We start from the raw sequence: 24,970 nt of genomic DNA on the forward strand, positions 1-24,970 counted from the left end.
ACTTCAGATATTGTGTTTTATAGTTCTACAATTTCCATTGAATCATTTTTTTCATATTTTCCATATCTGTGTCCTGAGATTTCCTATTTGTTATGCTGATTACAAATAGGTTTTTAATACCTACAGTAGATGAATGTTAAGTCCTCTGATAAATTTAGTGTCTATCTCATCTCAGAGCTGGTCTCCATTGATAGCTTTTTCTGTTAAATATGGGTTATGTGTTCCTGAATTTTTGTAGATTGAGTAATTTCTGAATTATATCCAGAAAATTGTGAATTTTAAGTTGTGGATATTTTGGATTTTGCTATATTCTTCCAGAGGGTGTTAATTGCTTTGATTAGCAGGCAGTTAACTTGGCTGAACTGAAACTTTAAACTCTGAAGTAGGTGGAAGTTGAAATGTTCTGTTAGCCTTGGCTGCACTGCTTGGAGTCTGTTTCATGCGTGGGTTGCCCAAGGTCCAGCCAGAGGTTTAGGGAAAGTTTACATATATAATTTGAGGCTTCACATCTGTGGTTCTCACTTCTCAGTATTCTCTTCATCCTTTGCTTTCCAGCTATTGTGATTGCTGTAAATTTTGCCCTTGGGTTCTTTAAGTCAATAAGAGTGAATGTGTCTATCCCAATGTAGGTCAACCACATGTTGAAGGTAAGGTTTGCCCTAAGGCCTCATGCTGTAAAATGTGGGGGAATTCACTCAGGGAAATTTCCTTCTTCCAAGTGTAGAACCCCCTTCAATTTCTGCCTAGCTTTGATAACTGTCCGGTGTATAGTTGTTTTCTAAGAAAGTATTTTGTTGGATAATGACTATGGTACAAAATAGAACCATGTTAAAATCAACTTTTGTCCTGTCTTTGTTTAGCACATCTTTTAATTATTGTGATAGTTGAGGCACATTGTTCTGTGGTTATAAGCAGAGACACACTTGTTGGGTTCAAATATCAGCTCTTTCACTATATGTGTGACTTCTTTGTTTCTCATTTACAAAATGGAAATAATTTCATAGAATTGTTTTTGGGCGCAGTAATGATATAGAAAAAAATCAAATTTGGTTTCTTCAATTATTCTTTCACAGCACAGAATACTTCTTTGACCAGATGTGTGGGGTTTCTCCCCTCTCACCCCACCCCTACCTTCCCACCTCACCCCCAGCACAAAGCAATTTTCCAGCCCCAAATTCTCCAAGAGACACTGAGTGTTCTAAAATTCAACTCAGTTCTGACACTATCAACCTGGCGGTAGTCTCAGATCCCACAGATTGAGGGTCCAGTCCCGTAAGACTGCCCCCACTTCAAATGCCAGTCGCAAGCACTGGTTGTGGCCCATGTTTCTAACCAACCAGCTATAAATTGGGATTCCCATAACCCCCTTTTCTGGTTCAATGAATTTGCTAAAGTGACTCACAGAACTCAGGGAAACACTACTTATATTTACCCATTGATTGTATAAAGGATATTACAAAAGATACAAGCGGACTGTCAGATGGAAGAGATGCATAGGGCAAAGTATATGGGAAGCAGCATAGAGCTTCCATGCCCTCCACAGGTGTACCACCCTCCAAGAACCTGTATGTGTTCAGCTATCTGGAAACTCCCCAAAGTAAGTCCTTTTGGGTTTATTATGCAGGCATAATTGATTAAGTCATTAACCATTGGCGATCATCTTAACCTTCAGACCTTCTCTCCTGACTGGTGTTGTGGTGTGGGCTGAAAGTTCCCAACCTCTAATCCCACTATGGTCTTTCTGGTGACCAATCCCCATTCTGAAGCTACCTAGGGGCTGCATCCATCACCCCATTCACATACAAAGAACACTCATTACTCCAAAGATTCCAAGAGTTTTAGGGCTTTTTGCTACAAACCAAGGGGCCAAGACCAAATGTATACTTTACAATTACGCAGCACTAAATGAAATACTATTTGTGAAGTGGCTAGGATAGTGACTGGTACATAACAGATATTCAAACATTAATTACTGGCTATTGTTAATGTAAACATTCTTTTTTAAAAAAATGTTACAGATTATACAATCTCTACCTATGGAACTCAGGCCACTAAAATTCACAAATATCTATATTTGGCCATCTTTAAAGTCAAACCTTGTACTATTCCCAGTTTACAATCTTCCTTGGAAGAATTAAAGAAAACAGATAAACATATCAATGTGCTTAGGGCCACCTGCCTTTGAGAAATGACTGAAATTTCGCCTGCTGGAAATCAATTACTAAAATTTTATGAAATTTTCTGCCTCTGATCAATTATTTTATGTGGCTGACTAAGCTGTCTGTATGCTTTTTAGTTGACTAGACAGAAAACTTGGATGTGGATCAGATCCATGCATCCTTCCATCAAAAGAGCAAGCTTACTTTCTTGCATCTGGCCGCATGACTTTATGCTATCCTATTTTCACTTCCAAAGTCAATGTTACAGATACTGATGAAGTTAGAAATTTAGAATTTTAAAATAATTTTATAGTTTTTAAGGTTGCTTTTTCCAATCAAAAATAAGTGAAAGTCAATCAACTAATGAATCCCCTCTTTCTCTTTATTTGGACCACCTCTAAGTGTCCATTTGCACAGGGCCTATTTTTGCAGACATGTTAATAGAAAATACTGACTGCAGAGGAGAAAGTAAGCCTGTCGCCTTTTTTCATCTTCTGCAGCTGCCTCTAGCTGCACATCCAGAGCTTTTAAAATTTAGGGGTATTATGGAAATTATAGAACTTGTGAAGGGATGCCTCAGGGAAAAAAAAGTTATAAACTTCACAAGACTCATGAATCATAGGCAAAATTTATTCAGAGTAGAAACTTCCATGTTATTCAGACATCACATCAACAGAGCTTCCTTTGCAGAGCCTTTCTAGCCTGAAATCCATACCATTGCTGAAACCATATATGTGCCCATCATTTTCCTGCATTGTATTCCTCTAATTTATGTTTTGTCCCTCAGGCAAGGATCAAATGGGGTTTTTCAAATGTTGGTAAAGAGTTTTCACATATTGTCATCTTATAAATATAAATTAATAATAATAGTAATAATGATAACAATGCTCTATTACAAAACGGATATTTACAGTAAGGCATTAAAAGCAATTTAACAGAAAACCTCAAGATTTAGCATGAAGCAATGCTTAGCAGAATATTACAAAAGCTACCAGTGCCTCTAGCTATAATATTTTATTCAGTTCCGTAAGTTTGAAAGCTCTTTTTTCCCCAATAAGAACTGGGAAGTGCTGTCGAATTGCTTTACCTCACTTTTATTGCTTTCCCTTTCTAGAGATGAGGATTGATGAACAAAACCTTCCTTCATTTGTAGTTGAATATTTATACCCAATATTTTATTTTCTTCTTTCAAATAATTTTAGCCAAACTTCTCTTGAACTAAATTAAAAAGCAGAATGCAAATTGTCTGTATATTGTGGTTGCAATTATGTAAAAATATGACTGCATATAAATAAAGGACTGGAAGGGAATACACAGAAATTACTTTAATTATATAAGTATGATGGAAAAGACAGGAGTTTCATCCCCATACATAAACCGTTTAAATTTTATGTAATATTCTGTTATTGTTTGTACAATAATATTTTATTTTTTTAAAAGTTTCCCCACTGAGGCTGAGACAGGAACAAATGCAGACCCGTCAAATTAGGTGATTTTAAAATTAAATCATTTCTTCTACTTTTCAGAAGCCCCTACTCCTAGCTTCCCTACCCATTCCTCTTCCAATAAGTTGATACGGTTATTCATTGAACTGAAGTTTTTATTGAGCACCTAAAGTCCATCAGCTCATGCGGATGCAGTAGCCGCCATGGCAGGCTATCATCTGATTTCCGCCTAAGTTTCCCCCCACATCAACTGATTTTCCCCTAATATTTTTGCTGACTTCCAGTGATTGTCCCAACTCTGCCACTCCTTTTTATGATTAGTCTAGTTCCTTTCCTGTCATTACCAAATCTCTCATCCAAACGATTGTTATAGAACCAAACCAGGTCCATTTACCCGTGAGCAATGGAAAGGTAAACATGAAGCCTGGGATTTTTGTAGAGAGAAAGGTTTATTGCAAAACGGCCAAGCAACGTGACAGGAGATGGGCTCAAAACTGTCTTCCTTGTACTGGCTTGAAAGCCATATTTGTAAAAGAAGGATTTGGAGGAAAGTGTTTCAGGGTAGATTAGTGATTGGCCAGGGAACGGGGATGTTTGGAAAGTCCCTTGCCCATGTGCAGTTGCCTCTTCATGGGTGGCATGTGAAAATTTAGGGGGAGTTAGTATGAAACTTGGGGCGGAAGTTCAGACGGTGACGTCAAAAGATCACCCCGTGGCCCGGCAAATCCTTGCGCGAGCTCCAGTCGGTCATATTGGTTCTGGCGGGTTTCAGCTGGTCCTGTGGTCTCATAGTGGACATCCTGCAAAATAAACACAGAGATTTTGTTAATCAACAGTCCCTTTTAAACCAGTTCTTTGGTCTATTTAACCCTGTGAGGCACAGTTTCACGATCTTTAAAGAAGGATCTTGTGCTCAAAATGTAACCCCTAACCTCTCCAAACTTTCCTCTCCTCTGAAAAACACCAAAGACATCTGCGACCCACGCACCGTGGCCTTTCCTCCTTGCCTGGTGTCGCTCATTGCAGAGAGACATTTCACCGACGGAACCAACTGCTTCCTCTTAAACCTCTGCTCTTTTGTCACACTAAATCTACTTTTCCTTGCTGATTTGAATGACAACTCTCATTTCTTAGTCCCCTACTTTTTTTCCTTTATTATACCCTACTTTTGACATGTCTGTTTCTCAAAAATTCTTTGAAATTTTTCTATCGTCTCTCATCTGCTGAGACAATGCTTAAAATGATCATTATATATCTATATATGATTGTATATGCTATATGTGGTATAATGTCATATATACACCATCATAACAGCTAAATTCTGTAGAGGGATTATTATATGCCAGGTTCTGTATTAATAAGTACAGACTTTGTTTCCATGATTTTATTTAATTCTTATAGCAACCATAAAAGGCAAAAATGCCTTTTTTTTTTCTTTTGAGAAAACCTCTGAGCTTAAAGAGATAGAAACATTTTCCTAATGCAGCATTGTTGTGAATGGAGGAAATAGGCTCCAACTTCAAAAGTGTCTGAGGACAGAGCTCACCTTCCTAGCTGCTGGGCTATGCCCTGACTGCATTACTCCAACTCCCAAGTCTGACCTGGCTTCGCTGGTAAATTGTTTCCCATCATTTCCACCCCATCCAAATATCTGCTAGTCTTTTCCACAAAAATGACACACCAAGACCTTATTATACACAACATTTAAGATGACAAGTGTTCTTTCCCTAAAATATTTTCTTTAATTTATCCGCTTATTTCAAGGTCATCATCACTGTAGTCCGTATTCAAAACAAAGCTCTTTACCTCTGGCCTTTCCTTCTCTTCTGTCACCCACATCTACAAAGTTACCAAGGTTTGTGGCTTTTTTGCTTCAAAGCCTCTGCCAGTTTGCCAGAAGGAATACACACGAACACATATGTACAGATATATATGCAACAGCAAAAACCACTTGCAAAAGATTTTTTCTAAGAAACCATATGTAAAAACAGATGAGAAATATCCTTAATATCAATGCACATAGAGGGAATAAAGTCATCAACTAAGAGAAAAACAAATTGTATCAGAAAACAAAACTAAAATGTGTATGTGTGTGTACGAAAGCCACACAAAGTAAAATTACTTAGAAAGACTAAAGGTAAAGTGCGTAAAAACTACCAAACAAAACAAATAAAAAGAAATCAGAAACTCTTTGTTCCAGGCAAAAATACAAGGCAAAAGCATGAAATAAAACAAAAAATAGGCCGGGCGCGGTGTCTCATGCCTGTAATCCCAGCACTTTGGAAGGCTGAGGCGGGCGGATCACGACGTCAGGAGATCGAGACCATCCTGGCTGACATGATGAAACCGCTTCTGTACTAAAAAAAAAAATACAAAAAAAAAATAGCCAGGCGCGGTGGCGGGCGCCTGTAGTCCCAGCTACTCGGGAGGCTGAGGGAGGAGAATGGTGTGAACCCGGGAGGCGGAGCTTGCAGTGAGCCGAGATCGTGCCACTGCACTCCAGCCTGGGCAACAGAGCAAGACTCTGTCTCAAAAAAAAAAAAAAAAAAAAAAAAAAATACACTTTGCAATGATTTATGTGAATGGTCCTCAGTTACAATAAAGTGTATACCTGAAAAGAATATATGAAGCTGGAAAATTTACGAAGAAAAGAGATTTGATGGGCTGACAGTTCTGCAGGCTATACCAGCACAGTACCAACATCTGCTTGGCTTCTGGTGAGGCCCTCAAGGATCTTTTACCAGTAGCAAAAAGTGAAGTGAGAGCAGGCACATCGCAGGGCAACAGCAGAAGCAAGAGAGAGTGAAGGGGAAGGTGCCATACTTTTAAACAGCCAGATCTCCCAAGAACACACTATCACAAGGGCAGCACCAAGAAGATGGCATTAAACCATTTATGAGATATCTGCCCCCATGATCCAGTCATGGGGCCCCACTTTCAACATTGGAGATTATAATTCAACATGAGATTTAGAGGAGACAATATCCAAACTGTATCACAGAGTGTCTCTCTGTCACCCAGGCTAATGTGCAGTGGCCAGATCATAGCTCACTGCAGCTTCAAACTCCTGGGCTCAGGGAGGCTCCTTCTGCCTCAGCCTCTTGAGTAGCAGGAACTACAGGCATGTGCCAATGTGCCACAGTGCTTTGCGAATTTTCTTTCCTTTTTTTTTTTTTTTTTTCAGAGATGGAGTCTTTCTATGTTTCTCAGGCTGGTTTCAAACTCCTGGCCTCATACAATCCTCCTGCCTCAGCCTCTAGACTAGCCAGATTGTAAGCACAAACTACCACGCCCTGATCAAGTGTGTATCTTCTACAGCCAGTCCTCCATCTCATTTGGATTTTTCTGACTTTATGAGATATTTTCTTAGCTGCCCTGACTCCAGTTTTCCCTGTTTCCAGAAGAGTTTTACATAGGACATTCAATGTCCTATAACACTAACCTCCCCCTCCAAGGCAGCACAGCACAAAGGCTGTGAGAACAGGCTTTCAAGCCAGAGGCCTGAGTTCAAATCCCAGCTCCAGTACTTACTGTCTTTATAAACTGGACAAGTTACTTAACCCTCTGTGCCTTAATTTCCTCACAGGTAAACAGTGGACCTAACTCACAAGGATCTAAAAAAAAATTAAATAAATTAGTATTGGTAAAATTCTTAGAAGTACCATGTAGATATATAATAAGATATAAATAATTGTTATTGTTAAATAAACATGTATGCTTCTGCTATGATTTAACTGTACCCTCCAAAACTCAGTTGAAATTTAATCCCCTATGTGGCAATATTCAGAGGTGGGGCCTTTAAGATGTGATTAGGTTACAAGGGCCCTGACCTCATGAATAGATTAATCCATTTATGAATTAATGGGTTCATGGATTAATAGATTATCACAGGAGTGGAACTGGTGGCTTTGTAAGAAGCGAAGGGGGACCTGAGCTAGCACACTCAGCCCCCGCACCGTGTGATGCTCTGCGCCACTTTGGGATTCTTCAGAGCTTCCCCATCAGCAAGAAGGCTCTCACCAGAGAGGGGCCCATGGCCTTGGACTTCCCAACCTCCACAACTGTAAGAAAGTAATTTATTTTCTATGTAAATTACCCAGTTTCAGGTATTCTGTAAGAAGCAACAGAAAATGGACTAAGACAGTTGCTGGTTAAACAACGTCTGTGAGTAAAAGTAAATATGAGTTCATCAACCTGAAACCAAGCCCTTTGTTTTTTCAGAAGACAGTCTGTTTTCCCAGCATCACACCCCAGTTTTCCAGCATTATATCCCTCAACCTCACTGTAAATGCTGCTAAATCAGACAGCTCACCCAGTGGACCTGACGACTTTCTTCTTCCAGCTCCTTTGCAGTCATTCAGTCTGCAATGCCTCCCCATCGTCTCTGCCCACACATCCTTTAAGCCCTAGCTCAAGTGCCACTTCTATCTGAAAGCCACTCCATGATCATCCCTGTCGGAGACCATCTAGGCCTCCTTGAAAATTGTATTGCTCTTTGTTACTGTCCTATGGGACTTATGGACTATGTGACAAGAATGTCACATTTTTGTTCCATTTTTTGTTTTCCTAAATTTTAAGCTCAGTGACTGAGAGGATGTGCTCATTCTTCCTTCATAAATTCCACTGTTTCTGATACAGGTTTTAAAATTGCTCCACGTTCTGAAACATAGTTTGAATCACTGAAGGAAAAGAATTTTTCATGTACTAAAACAGAGCAAACATGTTTTTACGTCAATAAGTTTCTAAACCCTTATCCAATAATGCAGCTCAATGTTAATCAGCCATGCCGCCTCATTTGTTATTTAGGAAAATTTTGTTATAGTACTTTTCTGGTTTCTTTTTTTCTCTTGTCATTGACAAAAAGATTATACCTTTGTTCTATACTATAACATAGTTAAAGGGTGCAAGCAAGATGTATAAAAAGCATTGAATCCTATCTCTACCGCTGGTAGCTCTCTGCTCTTGAGTGTTATATAACTTCTCTGAGCCTGTTTCTTCATGTGTAAAATAAAGCAATACCATGCAAGATTAATGTCAAGATTAAATAAGACTTCTGTAATGTATTTGGCCCATAGTAAGAATGCAATAAAAGATAGCCAATAAGAGTAGTTGTAATAATAATAATTTTCCTTATAGGCTTTGTTATATTACTGTTTTATTTTCATTTTATTTTATTTGGATTTTTACATCACCGAAGGCATGATTTATTTTCTCTATATTGACAGTAAATTTACAGGGCTGATGCTGTGCTTACTTTCACTTCAGAGTCCTTACTTGTAAAATCTTCTTATAAAGGTAGATCACATTTTGGGAGTTATCACTTAGCCCATTCATCTTCCTAATGGTTTAAAGCATCACATATCACAACTCTATTTCTTCTCATGCTAATAATATTCTTTCCCTGTAGCTATTCTAAATATTCTATAGGATCATCTACCAGATGATGAGTGTAGCATCTGATAACATAGGCAGCTCCATGACAATATATGTTTGTGTTATCCATGATTAATGTATGATGTTTCAGTAATACCTGGGAAGTAATTAATCAATAGGACAACTTCTGAAATGCTTTCCTTTCTCCCTTTTACATAAGTCCTGCTCCTTCCCCGTCTCTTTCTCTCTATCATCAGTTTTCTTTCTCCCTATTCACGTCCTTACTCCGCTTTCACTCAAAATGGTGGCCATGACCAACTGACCTGATCTCTTACCAGGACTTTCAGCTTCTATTTAGGGCCATGGTTACGATACTTGCTTTGTCTCAAACACTTCCAGTTTCAACCAAAAGGATCTTGAATTATTCTGCAGGAAGCTAACAATTACTAGTTTCCATAGTTCATGTACCTATTGAGAGATATCACCATCTCTCATAACCTCTTCTGTATCCTCTGGTCTCCTCACCATTGTTTAGGTTTTGTGGAGGCTCAGATGCATGATAGGAAGATTTGGAGTTTTGCACTCAGCTGGCCTGGGTCAAATTGAAGCTCTACTCTTTGCTTGCTTTGCCTCTTCAGCTTTACCTTATTGGGTGTCCCTATAATGAAGCAGTTCATCTATAAAGTGGGAATGAACATAGCCACCTCAAAGGGTTGCAAGGATCAGGGATAATGAATGTACAACACTCAGCCCAGTGTCAAGCTTATACAGGGAGGTCAGTCATCCAGGGTCTAACCAGCACTGTGCTATGATAAGCAGCAGCCATCTAGCCTGAAAAACAAATCACCTTTAACAATTTTGTTTCCATGGGAAAACACGTTTTGAGTTGTAAACAACTAATTTATAGACATGTTGGAAACACAATTAAAATATCACATGCTGGAGTCTAGACAGGCCTGATCTGTGAGTTATGTGCAAATAATATATGCAACATAAAATAAACTGTTAATTTTTTATTATTTTGCTTCATTTGAAGGATAATTTCAGTATTTGAAACAGCTGTAGGAATAAAGTTAGTTATTGAAGTAAAAAGACTAATTTTTCACTTAGCTTTCCCTAAGGAAAACAGGAGAGCTGCTCTTGGTAAACATTTACTAATGGGCCTTTGGACTCAAGGGTGTGAAGATACATTAAATTACTCAGGGCTTATCCTTTAGAAGCGGGGAAAAAGTGAGATGTTGATTTTTCACACCCAGAAGACTGGGAAGGCATTCTGTGGTAGTAGAAGTTACCTTGTCCAAATGACTTTTCAGAGATATTTTTATTACACTATAAAACTTGACATTTAAATTCATGGGCCTAACAAACCAAAAGATGTTTATGCCTACCCACTGATACGAAAGTAAATTAGCAAACTGACTAAAAGAAGAACAACAGCCACACTTTGTCCCAAGCAAAAGAAAACTAGCAATGAGACATGTAATGTGTAGAATGCTTGATAAAATGCAAAGCAGCATAGTCATTTACCCATTCTTGAAATTAACAGCGTATTTATTCACCACCAACTCTGTGCTGTGCACTGCACTGGATGCTCAAAATTTCTGAGAGCAAAATGGACAAGTTCCCTGTCCTCGTGAAGCTTACAAACTCATGAGAAAGGCGAATAATACACACAGTAAGCATACCATTGGGATAAAGCAGTTAAATCATATGCAGAGGAAATTGCTTGTTCTGCCACCGCAAGAAAGGTGATCAATTCAAAAATCAGAAGATTAAGGGTAGAGGTAGGAAATAACTGAATGCCCACATATCAGAGATCCAAAAAGCCTTTCATCAAAAGTTGGAAGTGAAAACAGTTTGTGTCAGAATCCCTAATGCCTGCCTTTCCCCTTTGTCCAACTCAGGCAAGCACAGCACTACATTCAAACTTCACCTGCAAATGCTCATTAAAACGTCACCTCAGAACTATCTACCTCATGTAAAAAATGTGCATTCACAGTAGAGTGACTAATTGCTTAGAGTGGTTTAAATTTTTACTGAATAAAATTCCTAAATTAGGATAGAGTGAACACAGAATTTTACAGAAGTACTAGGGAAGACAGAATATTGTGATGGCCCCTGCTGGTTGGTAGTGTCTAGACCTCAGTGAGATGCTGTTATGGATAAATATAGCTAACTAAAAAGTACAACGACTAGATCCGGTTTCCTGCGATTAAGAGTTTTTCCACAAATTATGGAGAAAAAATATACTTGGCTAAAACTATAAGTTTGAAGGGTTTCATTTCTTGGCTAATTAGCATGATTGTAAGTACAAAATGTTTTGCTGGACAAAGTGTGTTCTTTGAGTAAAAGCAACGATTAGCCTCAGAAATTAGAAAACTGTCCCATCTTGTACATGTCCTTCCACAGTCAACCTTCTGATCTGCTGGCTTTCACTCCCTTCTCATGCCTTTTCTTCAAAGCTCTGCTTCTCCAAGAAATTCATGGAGGGCAGTGACTCGCCTGAATCCTACCTTGTGGATAGAAGCCCTGTCCTCCATTCTACAAAGATGAGCCGTTCAACACACGTAGGGCAATCGCCAGTGAAGACAAATCCTTCCAGTGCGTATGCTAATATTTGCACCTGCCTTCATAATTAAGATAATTATATGTTTTTATTAAGGAAAACAGTTGGATTCCACTTTAATTTGTTCTATGCCCAAGAACAAATCTTTTGGTGGCAGCACCAGCACAAAACTAAATTTTGGTTAAACAAATCAGCATGACTCACAGTGGCCTAGAGTGGCAATTATTCTAATCGTGTTCCCTTGGAGAAAGTTTGTGCTACTTGGTTGGACCAAAACTCGTAGTTGAATGAATGATTCCTAAAATACTTAATTATACAGGCAAAGGCTAATATAGTGGTAGCCAGTTATTGGAACTGTCCAAATTATAGACGAGAAACAACTTAGGCACAGATATAATGCTGCTCAACAGAGTAATAGAAACGTTTATCTCTAAAAATTTTTAATCTCCAGAATGTTGATTGTGGTTAACAAGATTTACGCTTGCTCTTGGGGACCCTACATCTAAAGGCAGTGAAATGAACTAATCCATATGTTGCACATTCATTAAAACCAGGCAGTGTCTTGCAATTACAAATTAAATTGGTACATCTGGAAAAGGAATACTGGGATTTACAGGTTTTTGTGATTTTTCCTTATCATAAAATAATGAAAATTGTGGTTCTGATTTTTATTTGATTAAAGGAATTATTTCATTGTTCTGATTGGAAAGGTATGCAAAACTTTCGGAATATGGACATATGGATCAGCTTTGCTAATGGTGTCTGCTAATTTGGCATTGTTAACAGTCTGCTTTTTCCCCAGTGTACATATTTTTAGTTAGTCAGAAAGAATTTAGGTGAGCAGTTTTTCTTTAATTTCTGCTTTTTTTTTCCAGAGGGCTTTTTACTTAAAATGTGTTGAGAATTTTTGTTGCTATTATGTCTGTCTGAACTTTCTCAAGTAACACAGTTTTTATGTGCTATTTGGATAAAGACATTTGAAAATCCCTCTAGAATAGTTCGGTTTGGGAAACATCCTATAGACATGATTTGCTGGAGGCAAACTAACATTACAGATTAAAAGTCTACACCAAGACAATAGAAAAAAATCATAGTTTCTTCAAATCAAAAGGGAAAGATATTTTTAATCTTTTTTTACCAAGCCTGAAAGACCTATTTAAAGCTTTGTTGGAAATGAAAGCACACCATCACAAACCTAGTAAGCTATCACTCTTTACCCATTTGTTACATCCTCTATTTGCACACATGTCCTAGGTACAGGTATTTGCTGGAAATGTACAGAAATCTCTTCCACAGTAGGTTGGCTGACTTATGCAAAGCAACCATAGTAGTGGTCCAGGAAAATGAATAAAACAAAACAAAGCAACCGTGTCTCCAAAATGGACATTCTGTAAACTCTCATTGATTGAAAAACATTTCTTATAACCTGCCTTCTGGAGCAGATTTCCTGCTTGTATATAAATAATCATGGGGAAAGCAAAATCCAGTGCTGTCAAAAACAAACAAGCACCTTTTAAAAACTCCCTAGTAATTTCTACAGAAGTTTTAGTAGTTGTTAAAGCTGATCTTTGTTGCATCCCCAATTATTTCAGAAGCGTCAATCAGACACTGCAGTGGAGTCTTCCTTGACTTGTGTTACCTAAATTACAGTCAAGAGTCATTTGCTTGTCTTACATTCAAACAAAAAAAGATTTGATATAATCTTATTTTCTAGTTGAAAACAACTTTTTACATTTTTCATATTGTTGCAGAGGCTAACATTTTCAATGTGTTTCTCTAACAAACACTCATCCTTTTTTGTCTCATTCAGATATCATAAATTCTGTTAACAAGATCCATGTAATGGCTATATCAATCAGAGGGTTCCACACTTATATGGAAGCATCTACTCCTTCTAGAAGAAATATTTAATTTTACCTTCTGAATTCTCCACTTAGGTAGAATAAAAGGTAAAATGAACTTGTGGCCTCAAATCAAAGTGGGTGGAACCTGAGCAAAGTATTCAGGAGCAAATTCAAGGCATCTTGGCATCTCATGCAATGCTTTCATAATTGGGCAACATTATTGACCCAAGTCCTGAAAACAAAGTTAACCCTATAAGATTGTGGTTAATAACAGCTGTGTCCATGGTGTAACCTGGGTTTAGGGGAAGAGAATAGAGAAGAGAAACAAGGAGCAGGGAGCCCGTTCCAAAGTGCTTCTTTGAGCAGCCTTTAATGACGTTAGCTTCCTTTTCTAACTTCCCTGAAATTCCCATTAATAGAGTCACAATAGCAAGCTCTGTGTTCCCTTATTGAGCCAAGACATCAAAACATTTACCCATCATAAAAACATGTCCCATACTCAGCAGGCACACCCCAATAGAGGCATACCAGTAGTTACATACTGAAGTCAGGAACAGCCATCCCACAAGGCACCCCAGCCACCACAACCGTGCTCTGGCCCCACGCAAGAGCTTCCAGAAACCAGTCTAGCTTCCTGCCTCCAGTGCCTTGCTCAAGCCCAGTGGGTGTCATCATTTCATAATGGTCAATGGCCTGGCTCTAACGGTTGTTAAACATTTTAAATATTTTCCCTGATTAAAGGCAAGGATTTTTCCTCCCGAAAGTTGGAAGAGGAGAAGATCTTTCATTTTCCCATCTCTCCTTAGCTTATGAACATGGGTAGGCATACAGATATTAAGCAGTCTCAAAGGCCCAGTAGACCTGACTCTGGAGAAAGGAGAATCTTGGGCAGGTGATTTTTCTAAGTAATCTACCCAGGGATGATGGCAGAGGGCACAGGGCGCTTACCAGCGAAGGCAGCCTTAACACTCTTCTCCTGAGGAAGAAGTACCAGGGTCTCAGATCAGTATGTGCCTGCCTTAGTCTATTCTGGTGCTATAACAAAATATCATAGACTGGGTGGTTTATAAACAACAGATATTTATTTCTCACAATTCTGGAGGCCGGGAAGCCCAAGATCAAGGCAGATTCAATATCTGATGACGATCAGCCCACTTTCTGGCTCATAAACAGCCATATTCTCACTGTGTCCTCACACAGAGGGAAAGAGCTGTCTCTCATTTATAAGGGCACTAATCCCATTAATGAGGGCCCCACCCCATGACTTAATCACCCCACAAAGGCCCCATCTCCTAATACCATCGTTCTGGGAATTAGGTTTAAATATATGAATTTGGAGGGGACACAAACATTCAGACCATAGCAATAACAAAAGAATTGGGGCCCTGGATGAGTTGGCACTGGGAGAAGGTAGTATGTGGAGTGGTCCAACTCAGGTAATAAAGGAGAAATACACCATGAGCAAACTTGGCCTACTTTATTATTTTTTAGGAGCTAGTCCACATTAATGAAAAGTTCTAATAGAAAGTTCCATTTCTTTTAAACAGTTTCCCTTTGACCTGCACAATGTAGTTCACTTATCACTGTCTTTCCCACCTTCAGCACAGTAAATATGCTCCTGCTTTGTTGAATTATAATTTATGCGTTGCCCCCTTCTGGCTCTGAGGTCCTTATGGTTCAAGATGGCATTTTAGTATTTCTGTGTATCCAGAGCCCCCCACAATGTTTGCATACAGTAAATTCTTCATGCATGTCAGTGAAATACTCATGAAGAGCAGCAGGGAGCTGACAAGGAAGTGGGATGTCAGGAAGAGGCTTCTTTGAATGAATAGATGATGTGTAGGTTTTTAAGTTTTCTTGGAAACACATTCCCCCTCAGTGTTTTCAAGTTCTTTAGTGACCTTGTGTGTGTGTATGTTTGTGTGTGTTTGTTTGTTTTGAGATGGAGTCTCACTCTGTCCCCCAGGCTGGAGTGCAGTGGCGAGATCTCGGCTCACTACAGCCTTTTCCTTCCCAGTTCGAGCGATTCTTTCACCTCAGCTTCCCAAGTAGTTGGGATTACAAGCACCAGCCACCACGCCTGGCTAATTTTTGTATTTTTAGTAGAGACAGGGTTTCTTCATGTTGGCCAGGCTGGTCTCAAACTCCTGATCTCAAGTGATCTGCCCACCTCGGACTCCCAAAGTGCTTGGATTACAGGCTTGAGCCACCACACCCAGCTTGTAATCTTTGCCAAACCAGAATGCAAATGTGATTTACTCAGCAAGATAGTGAGATTTAATCCTTTTCTGTTTTTTTAGAAATACAGGATTAGAAGACAACAAATGGCCAGGTGCGGTGGCTCATGTCTATAATCCCAGCACTTTGGGAGGCTGAGGCGAGCAGATCACTTGAGCTCAGGAGTTTGAGACCAGCTTGGGCAACATGGCGAAACCCCATCTCTACAAAAAAAAAAAAAAATACAAAAATTAGCCAGGTGTGGTGGGGTACACTTGTAATCCCAGCTACTTGGGAGGTTGAGGTGGGAGAATCACTTGAGCCAGGAAGGCAGTGGTTGCAGTGAGCCGAGATCGCGCCACTGCACTCCAGCCTGGATGATAGAATGAGACCCTGCCTCTAAAAAAAAAAAAAAAGGAAGAAGAAAAAAAATGATTTCTTATTATGATATATGTATACACAGGCAATACTCTCCTTGCCCTAAGCTTCCCACTATGTAGAGCAAGACCTTCAACAAAAAAGAGACAGACCCAGTTCACAGTGCCTTGAAGTGTCTTTGAAAAGTTAGCCCCAGCTGGGCACAGTGGCTCATGCCTGTAATCCTAGCACTTTGGGAGGCCGAGGCAGGTGGATTGCCTGAGCTCAGGAGTTCGAGACCAGCCTGGGCAACATGGTGAAATCCCATCTCTACTAAAGTACAAAAAAATTAGCTGGGCGTGGCGGTGTGCACCTGTAATCCCAGCTACTCAGGAGGATGAGGCAGGAGAATTGCTAGAACCCAAGAGGCAGAGATTGCAGGGAGCCGAGATTACACCATTGCACTCCAGCCTGGGTGACAGAGCGAGAGTCCATCTCTAAAAAAATAAAAAATAAAAGTTAGCTCCAAGAGAGAATCCCATTGTAGTTTAATAAGATATAACACATCTCCTGAAATTTTATAGGAAAATATCTCTCTTTCACTTACTTGGCGATGAGGATTAAGATCTGAATCCTTCAACCACCAGTAAACTACCAGAAAAGATGCTTCTCCTATACGCCTCCTATGCCAGCAGGACAAGTGGACACAATGGGAATGGAGAATATATGCTCACATGTGATGAGGTCATGGCTGCCCCCATGAGGAAAAACAGTTTTGCTGTCCCCTCTAGATACCAAATCCACGGACTTGCTTCCAGTTGATTTTGAGTTCCAAAAATCATGACCTCTGAGCTGCCCACATCATTCAAAAATGAATGCAGAGGAAATGAGTGCAAGAATATTGGCGATGACTGGTATTAATGTTAAAATATATACCAAGGAATACCCATTCAGAGAAATGCTCCCAAGGCTCCTTTTCAAACACTGGGTGATTTCCCAGTGACTAAGAGCACATTTAAGGCTCTGAGAAGTCAGCACTAAGAAACTGTTGAATGCTATTTAGTCTGGTGTGAATGAAACAGGTCTGAGGAACCCTTCTTCTACATAACACCTAAGAACATTCCACAGATTAGAGTACTGCAAAATTCTCTCTGGAAAAGATTTACATGAGGAATGTCACTGGGTCTTGTTGCTCAATCATCAATACTGGTAGGACAAGAATTGAAAAGAGTGGTCATCACAAGGCCTTGTCCGTGAGGCAGAAGGTACTTGTTTAACGGGAAATTGAAGGTCTGGTGGTGCTATGCAGAAGGGATACCCTGTTCCTTGAATAACAACAAGCCCCACTTTTAGTTAAAGGGAAAGTTCATCTACCCAGTATCTGCTGCTGTTGGGACCCCTCCATACCCATGGAGGTTTCAACAAACATGAACTGAAGAGCACTCATGATATGCCAGATCTTGAGTTTGGGGCTGAAGATGGAGAACTGAAACAAGGTGTGTACGCAGGTCCCTAGTCCTACAAACCACCCTGCTGAGAGGACCAGAGTTCCTTCAATGTTGGAGCTTGAAGGGTCCATAAAAATCATCTAGCTTCACTTCTTCATGTTAGAAAGGAGACCAAGAGAGTATCTGTCAATTCCCTAAAGTCAAATAATGAAAAAACTAAAATTTACTTTTTCTCACTCTTGCTCAGGGTTCTCTCTACCAATTGACAAACTAATTTGTTGGCTCTTACAAACAGTGTGTATTACTTTGATTTAAGAGAAAAAAAGGCTGGGCGTGATGGCTTACACCTGTAATCCCAGCACTTTGGAAAGCCAAGGCGGGTGGATCACGAGGTCAGGAGATCGAGACCATCCTGGCTAACACAGTGAAACCCCGTCTCTGCTAAAAATACAAAAAAAAAAAAAATTAGCCTGACACAGTGGCGGGCACCTGTAGTCCCAGCTACTCGGTAAGCTGAGGCAGAAGAATGGCCTGAACCCAGCAGGCAGAGGTTGCGGTGAGCCGAGATCACGCCGCTGCACTCCAATCTGGGCGACAGAGTGAGACTCCGTCTCAAAAAAAAAAAAAAAAAAGAGAAAAAAAAAGAGTCTGTTTATAGTTAGAAACTTAATCAACTACTTAATCCATCACAGTATTCATAGAACAAGCTACTGAAACAAAAGATCACAATTTTTCTTCCTCAGTCTTGAAATACATGAGTTGACACTCATTACTGTATTACTACTAATTGAACACTTGCTTTGTGATAGGTACCGTGCTCAGCCTCTCACCCTCTGAATCACTATATATAGTAGATGGTATTATGACTACTTTACAGAAAAGGAAACTGAGGCAAAGGGAGGTCAAAACTGATGCTGAAGTTCTCATGAGATCTAAATTCAGTTCTGCCAGATTCTGAAGTCCATGCTTGTAGCTACAAAGCTACAGGTTCCTTAGAGAGAGACTTGGGTGAGGAATAGTGTTCCAACTGCAAACACATAGAGAATGACTTCTCTAGGATGTCACCAAAGAGAGATGGAACAGTGTGGTTCAACTGACATTATTTTACAAGTGAGGAAATTGAGATGAAAGGGAAATAGAAACAACTCTGGGGAAAAATGATTCACGTGTATGCTTTTCAAATGCAGAGACTAGATCACGTTTATCCTGTCCTCACTGCCTAGGGATAGCAATTGGGTGGCTGTTAAACAGGAGATAGGCTCAAAGCAGAGACTCAAGACACTCCTGAACAACAACAAAATATAGGAAATGAATTTCTTAGTAATTTGAAAATATCTGATTTCAGTTTTTAATAAACAGTTTTTAGAATGCAGCTGGAACTGAAAGTTCCTGAAATTTAAATTCTTTGGAATGTTTAGTTATCAAAGAGTTGAATTTAAGCCCTGCTTTCTTCTTTAAGAAAATAATTTAGATATCCTTGTCATGGGGATCCTGGATGAGACAGGATTTACTTTTCACACACAAATTAGTCATGCCATTGCCAGGTATCCCAGCATGATTTACAACAACACATTTTTTTAAGCGAAGCGATAAAAAGAAAAGTTTCCTTTATGCTGAGATTTCCAGTCATAACTTCCTATTTTAGTGACAAATCGAGTAGACAAAACTGATTGCCTGAATTACCTATCCAAGGAAAATTGTGCTGAAGTCCGTATGTCTCTGTCTGGGTTTGGAATTTGAGGAGTATCTAAATCTTTGTTTACTTTTCCAATTCATTTTATACCTGGCTGATTTGATGTAAAGATATCTCTGTTTTGTCTCAGATGTTATTCACTAATAAAATCATTACTAGGTGCTTTGTTTCCCCTCTACCAGGACTGAAAACTCTCCAGTTTTCTGAATTCTGCAAGGATGCGCCCCCCTCAGGCTGCTGCCCTGCTGGTAAATTAGCCAGGGCCTCCAGGGAACTCCCCAGGGTCTGGCTGCACAGAGGGACGATGACAGGAAGGTGCTGAGAATCCATTATTTATGATTTGAACAAAAAACGAAAATTAACACCTAAAATAGTAATTGCGCCATTTCTCTAACTTTACCAGCTAATCAAGTGTGGGAAGAGAGGCCTGTGATCACGTGTCTTGCTGCAGCAGCCTGCATTGCCAATGGAAAGAAATGCCGAGAAGAATTAAAGGACTCAAATGTAAAATAAGAAAAAGTATGAAAGGAAACAAAAGTCCAAAAGGTAATGTAAATGATAAATCAAGAGCCCTTGAGCACTGAACCATGTAAACCGTCAAGTTTCTAAACTTGCTGGAAATAGGAGAAGGAAGTTGTTGAGTGTTTGTGAGAATATGGAAGCTGTCAATAATCAAAAGACTCTGTTTTGATAGATGATCATTAAGGGAAAGTTCAAGATGAAGAAAGCACAAATAGAAGACACATATGTAATATGTACAAATGTGCAATAAAGGGAAATAGATAAGCAGTTACATTTTTTAAAACCCATATTCAGAATTCAGAAATGGATTATTTAAAGCACTGTTTTATTCCTCTTAAAAGAAAAAAAAAAGAAACAGCAAAAAGACTAATTTGCGCAGTTGAAAAGGTGAGAGAACAAGTTAAAAGGATTTCCAGAATTTAGAAGTAGAGCCAGTTTGATACAGCTTGATTAATACTTTAAAACCAGATATAAATGTATATTATATTTATACACACACATATATATTTCAAATCCTGTTTGAACTTATCATGGGGGTAGGATGCTGAGAGTCAAAATCACCCATAATCCTTCTTCATGGTGCTAACCACTTTTAATAACTTCTGTATACATTTCTAGATGTATAAATTAATACTAAATATGACTATAATGAAAGTCATTTTAAAAATATCTGAAAAAACATCTTTAATAATGAAATATTTTGTGAATATCTCCATCACTAATATTCTTATACAATATTATTTTTATGCATATATAATATTTCATTTCATAAAGGTATCAGTTTACATAATCTGTTTCCTGACTATGGGGTATTTAGGTCATTTCTATTTTTTTCCACTATTATGAACTAAACTGCGATGAATATTATTTTCTCTTAACCTATGAATAATTTTTTTTTTGAGACAGAGTTTAACTCTTGTTGCCCAGGCTGGAGTACAATGATGTGATCTTGGCTCACTGCAACCTCCACCTGCCAGGTTCAGGCGATTCTCCTGCCTCAGCCTCCCGAGTAGCTGGGGTTACAGGCTTGTGCCACCTCACCAAGCTAATTTTTGCATTTTTAGTAGAGATGGGGCTTCGCCATGTTGATCAAGCTGGTCTCAAACTCCTGACCTCGGGTGATCCACTGACTCCAGCCTCCCAAAGTGCTGGGATTACAAGTGTGAGCCACCACGCCCAGGTGCCTATGAATAATTATATCCTTAGAATAAAATCTTAGCTTTCTCAGAGGTAGGTCAAATATATTTTAGAATCTGCCGGGTGCGGTGGCTCACACCTGTAATCCCAGCACTTTGGGAGGCCGAGGCGGGTGGATCACAAGGTCAGGAGTTCGAGACAATCCTGCCTAACATGGTGAAACCCTGTCTCTACTAAAAATACAAAAAAAATTAGCCGGGCTTGGTGGCAGGTGCCTGTAGTCCCAGCTACTTGGGAGGCTGAGGCAAGAGAACGGTGTGAACCTGGGAGGTGGAGCTGGCAGTGAGCTGAGATCGCACCACTGCACTCCAGCCTGGGCGACAGAGCGAGACTCCGTCTCAAAAAAAAAAAAAAGAAAGAAAAAGAAAATAGTAACTTTATAGGTGGAGAAACTCAACAGACACCACCTTAACTAACTGATGAAAGTCAACCTCATCAACAATTAGACATATGCATGTCATGAACCTTATGATATAAGATGCACTGAGAAAGAAGCAACATCACTTTTTGGTATTCCTGTTCAAACTGCATAGCCTCTGTCCCCATCTGAGAAAATATCAGATGAATCCAAACTGAGGGACATTCTACAAGACAAATGACCGCATGCTCTCTGAAAGTGTCAAGATCATGAGACCTAAGGTGAGAATGAGTAACTAATAGAAACTGAAGGGGCCCCAGGTGAAAAGCAAAGCGGGGTCCTGCCTAGGTTGTCAGAATAGAAAGGGATATTAGTGGAAAAGCAGGTGAAAATTGAATAAGGTCTTTAGATAATAGTATTGCCCCAATGTTAGTTTCCTGGTTTTGATTATTTTAATATTGTTAAGTAAGGTGTGAACTTTAGGATAAGCTTGCTGAGGGGTATAGGCGAACTGTACAACTCTACTACTTTTGCTAACTTTCTATACATTTAAAATTGATCCACAAAAAAAGAAAGATTAAGATTTTTTAAAAGTTACAAGTACAATGGAATCTATCACTTTAATTATCACATTACCTTAAATAATCCCTTACTTCCTCAGTTATAGTTTTCTTATCAGTAAATCTAGGGTAACAGCTACATCACAAGCTTATTTTAGGGAATAAATAATATGTAAACTCTTGGCTCATTGTACAGGCTCAACAAATGCTTATTGAATTTTTTAAAAATTGTCTAAAATACTTCTTAAGGCAATGTATATTTTTTATCTGTAAACTGCAGAGTTTGATGCAAGTCTATTAAACCTGTATTTATTTTTTATCTACTTTATATGTTAAAGATAGAGAGGGGGTTGTCAAAACCTTCCTTTAATTTTCAATTTTTTAAAAATTTAAATTGCCCTTTATGATGTTATTTGGTGGTCAAATCTTCATGACTGTTCTAATCTTGAGTGTGTAATACATTTCTTTGTATGCTTCTTTCTCAGATATCAATAATGCTGTGGCTGCTTCCTTGTTATTTGTAATATCCTGGTGTATAGTTTCTGGTTTCTAATCCCTGTCATTGGAAGTTTGATTTTTTTGGCTACTAATTTATAATCAATTGTATAGTTAAGAAGTTAGTCTTTTGCCTGTCATGTATATTGAAAGTCTATTGTCATAATCTATCTTCGTTCTTCTGATTTGAACAGTTAAACACATTCCATGTCCCATGATACTGTTTTTCACTTTCATAGTTATTGAGAAAGGAAGTCCTTGTTAGCCATGTGTTGTCACTTGAACCACTTGAAATGGTTCTACCTGAGATTGGGTGGATTCTTATTCAACTCTTTCAAGCAGAAATCAGGAGATAAGGGAAAAGTTTAATGAGCATTTGTGGCCTGTCAGGAATCAGAAAGGAGGTCACCAGAGATGTAAGCTGTAACGGGGGCCAGATCGACTCTTTGTGCAGTCAGTTTGAAGTAGCAGCCTAGTCACAGCTGACTTCCTCGCTGGCTTGCATGCCTGCCATTAAATCAGTGCAGCCGAGCCTCTGTGTTTCTGTGCTGTCCATACCAGGTGCATCCCAGCAGTAAATGCTGAGGGCCTACTCCTCAGAGTGCCCGGTCCTTAGTGCCTGTGGGGTTTCCTGGGAATCTGGGAGATTCAATATGTTCTCCTCCCTTCTTGTCCAGTGATCTGCTCTCACCTCCCTCCGGGTCCCTACCATCCATTTCCATGGCCAACATTAGTTTCATCTTAATGTGAAACTCAAATTAGTCATTTTTTCCTTCACTCCAATCTTACCTGTGCTGTATCATCCAGAATTGTGTAGGAGACCTTCCTCGAGATGCCAGTCTAGGTTTAAATATTCCCCTAATGCTAAAAATACTCATGTGTCACTTAACAGTGGGGATACATTCTGAGAAATTTGTTGTTAGGCAATTTACTCATTGTGCTAACATCGTAGACAGTACTTACACACACCTAGATGGGATAGCCTACTACATACCTAGGCTATGTGGTATAGGCTATTGGTACTAGGCTACAAATCCATACAACATATTACTGCACTGCCTACTTTATTATAACACAATGGTAAGTATTTTGTATCCAGACATACCTAAACATAAGAAAGATACAATAAAAACTGTGGTATAAAAGATTTAAAATGGTACACCTGCATAGGGCACTTATCATGAATGGAGCTTGCAGGACTGGAAGTTGCTCTGAGTGAGGCTGTGAGTGAGTGCTGAGTGAATGTGAAGACCTAGGATATTACTGTATACTATTGTAGTCTGTATAAACACTGTACATTAGGCTACACTACATTTATTTATTTATTTATTTATTATTTTTATTTTTATTTTTATTTTTGAGATAGAGTCTTGCTCTGTCACCCAGGCTGGAGTGCAGTGGCGCGATCTCGGCTCACTGCAAACTCCGCCTCCCAGGTTCACACCATTCTCCTCCCTCAGCCTCGCGAGTAGCTGGGACTACGGGCACCCACAACCATGCCCGGCTAATTTTTTGTATTTTTAGTAGAGATGGGGTTTCACCGTGTTAGCCAGGATGGTCTCGATCTCCTGACTTCGTGATCTGCAAAGTGCTGGGATTACGGGCACGAGCCACTGCGCCCGGCCACTAAATTTATTTTTTAATGTAATTGTGCTACAACCTTATGATGCCTATAGTGTCACTAGGTAGTAGGAATTTTTCAGCTGAATTATAATCTCATGGGACCACTGTTGTATATGCAGTTCATAGTTGATTAAAACAACATTATGCAGTGCATGATAGTATCTTGTCTTAGGCTAGTGTTATTTCTAGGGAAGTAGAGGAGATAAATGTATGACCTTAAATGGTCACATCAAACTGAAAAAGAACACTTTTAAATTCCTAGAAACATCAAACATTGTCAGGTGACTAATGCTGATGGGATAAAACAAGGTTGAGACAATAAAAGTGATTTAACTCAAATATGTCATGGTTGTTGCTGGGATCCATTCTCTGTTTTAGTTAAGAAAGGTGGAAAGTAGAGGCATGAAGATGATGAAACATGGGGAGAGGAAGGAAGCAGGAGATTTGATTGTACATTTTTATTTCATTATTCCCATCTGTATGACTTAATTCCCCAAAGTTTACTTGAACTCTCAAAGTTGTTTTAGCTGAAAAATGGGGATAATAGCTCAACTCCTGCCTCAAAAGTCTGCTTCAGGGTTTAAATAAATTATTCTCTGTGAAAGTACTTTGTAAATTTTAAAATCCCTTTACAGTACTGAGGCATTGTACAACTCAAAAGGCCACCATTCACGTTGAAAATGGTGCCTGCTCTTAGAGCAAAACTCACGTAGAATTTGTGTAAAATACAAGGGGAACTGTAACTCCTGGAGTTACAGTTACGGTGGCCCTGAAACATGTTAAGCACCGTTACCACAGCTGTAAGTCAGATGTGGTAAATGAATACAGGATGAGGTGTTGTAGGTAAGATTTGATCAAAAGGAGACTATTGCATGAGAACATACCAGGTGGCAGAGAATCTAATGAGTGAATTCCATGGGGCAATTGGGAGGCATTTCAAAATCCTGTATCATTCCAAGACAGTGAGCCAGGGTGCTTGGTTACTGGACCAAACATCGTGGGAGACTGAGTTACTTGAACATGCAGTGGTTTATAGGGAAGGACTTCTAGTAACTGTTGGACAGAAACAATGAAGGGTCAAAGCTGTTGGCAAAGATTGAGCAAAACCTGGGC

General features: G+C 39.2%; 1 long non-coding RNA gene across 1 annotated transcript in view; it reads right to left on the reverse strand.

Annotated features, from left to right (window-relative positions):
- Nucleotides 1-4,034: 4,034 nt before the first annotated feature.
- The window catches only part of LOC124908051 (uncharacterized), a 35,249-nt gene continuing 14,313 nt past the window's right edge, over nucleotides 4,035-24,970 (reverse strand). The window contains exon 2 of the long non-coding RNA XR_007088651.1: nucleotides 4,035-4,404. This is a non-coding gene — a long non-coding RNA (uncharacterized LOC124908051). The remainder of the gene's footprint in view (nucleotides 4,405-24,970) is intronic.

Source organism: Homo sapiens, chromosome 2, assembly GCF_000001405.40.
Source record: "Homo sapiens chromosome 2, GRCh38.p14 Primary Assembly".
Classification (NCBI taxonomy): domain Eukaryota; kingdom Metazoa; phylum Chordata; class Mammalia; order Primates; family Hominidae; genus Homo; species Homo sapiens.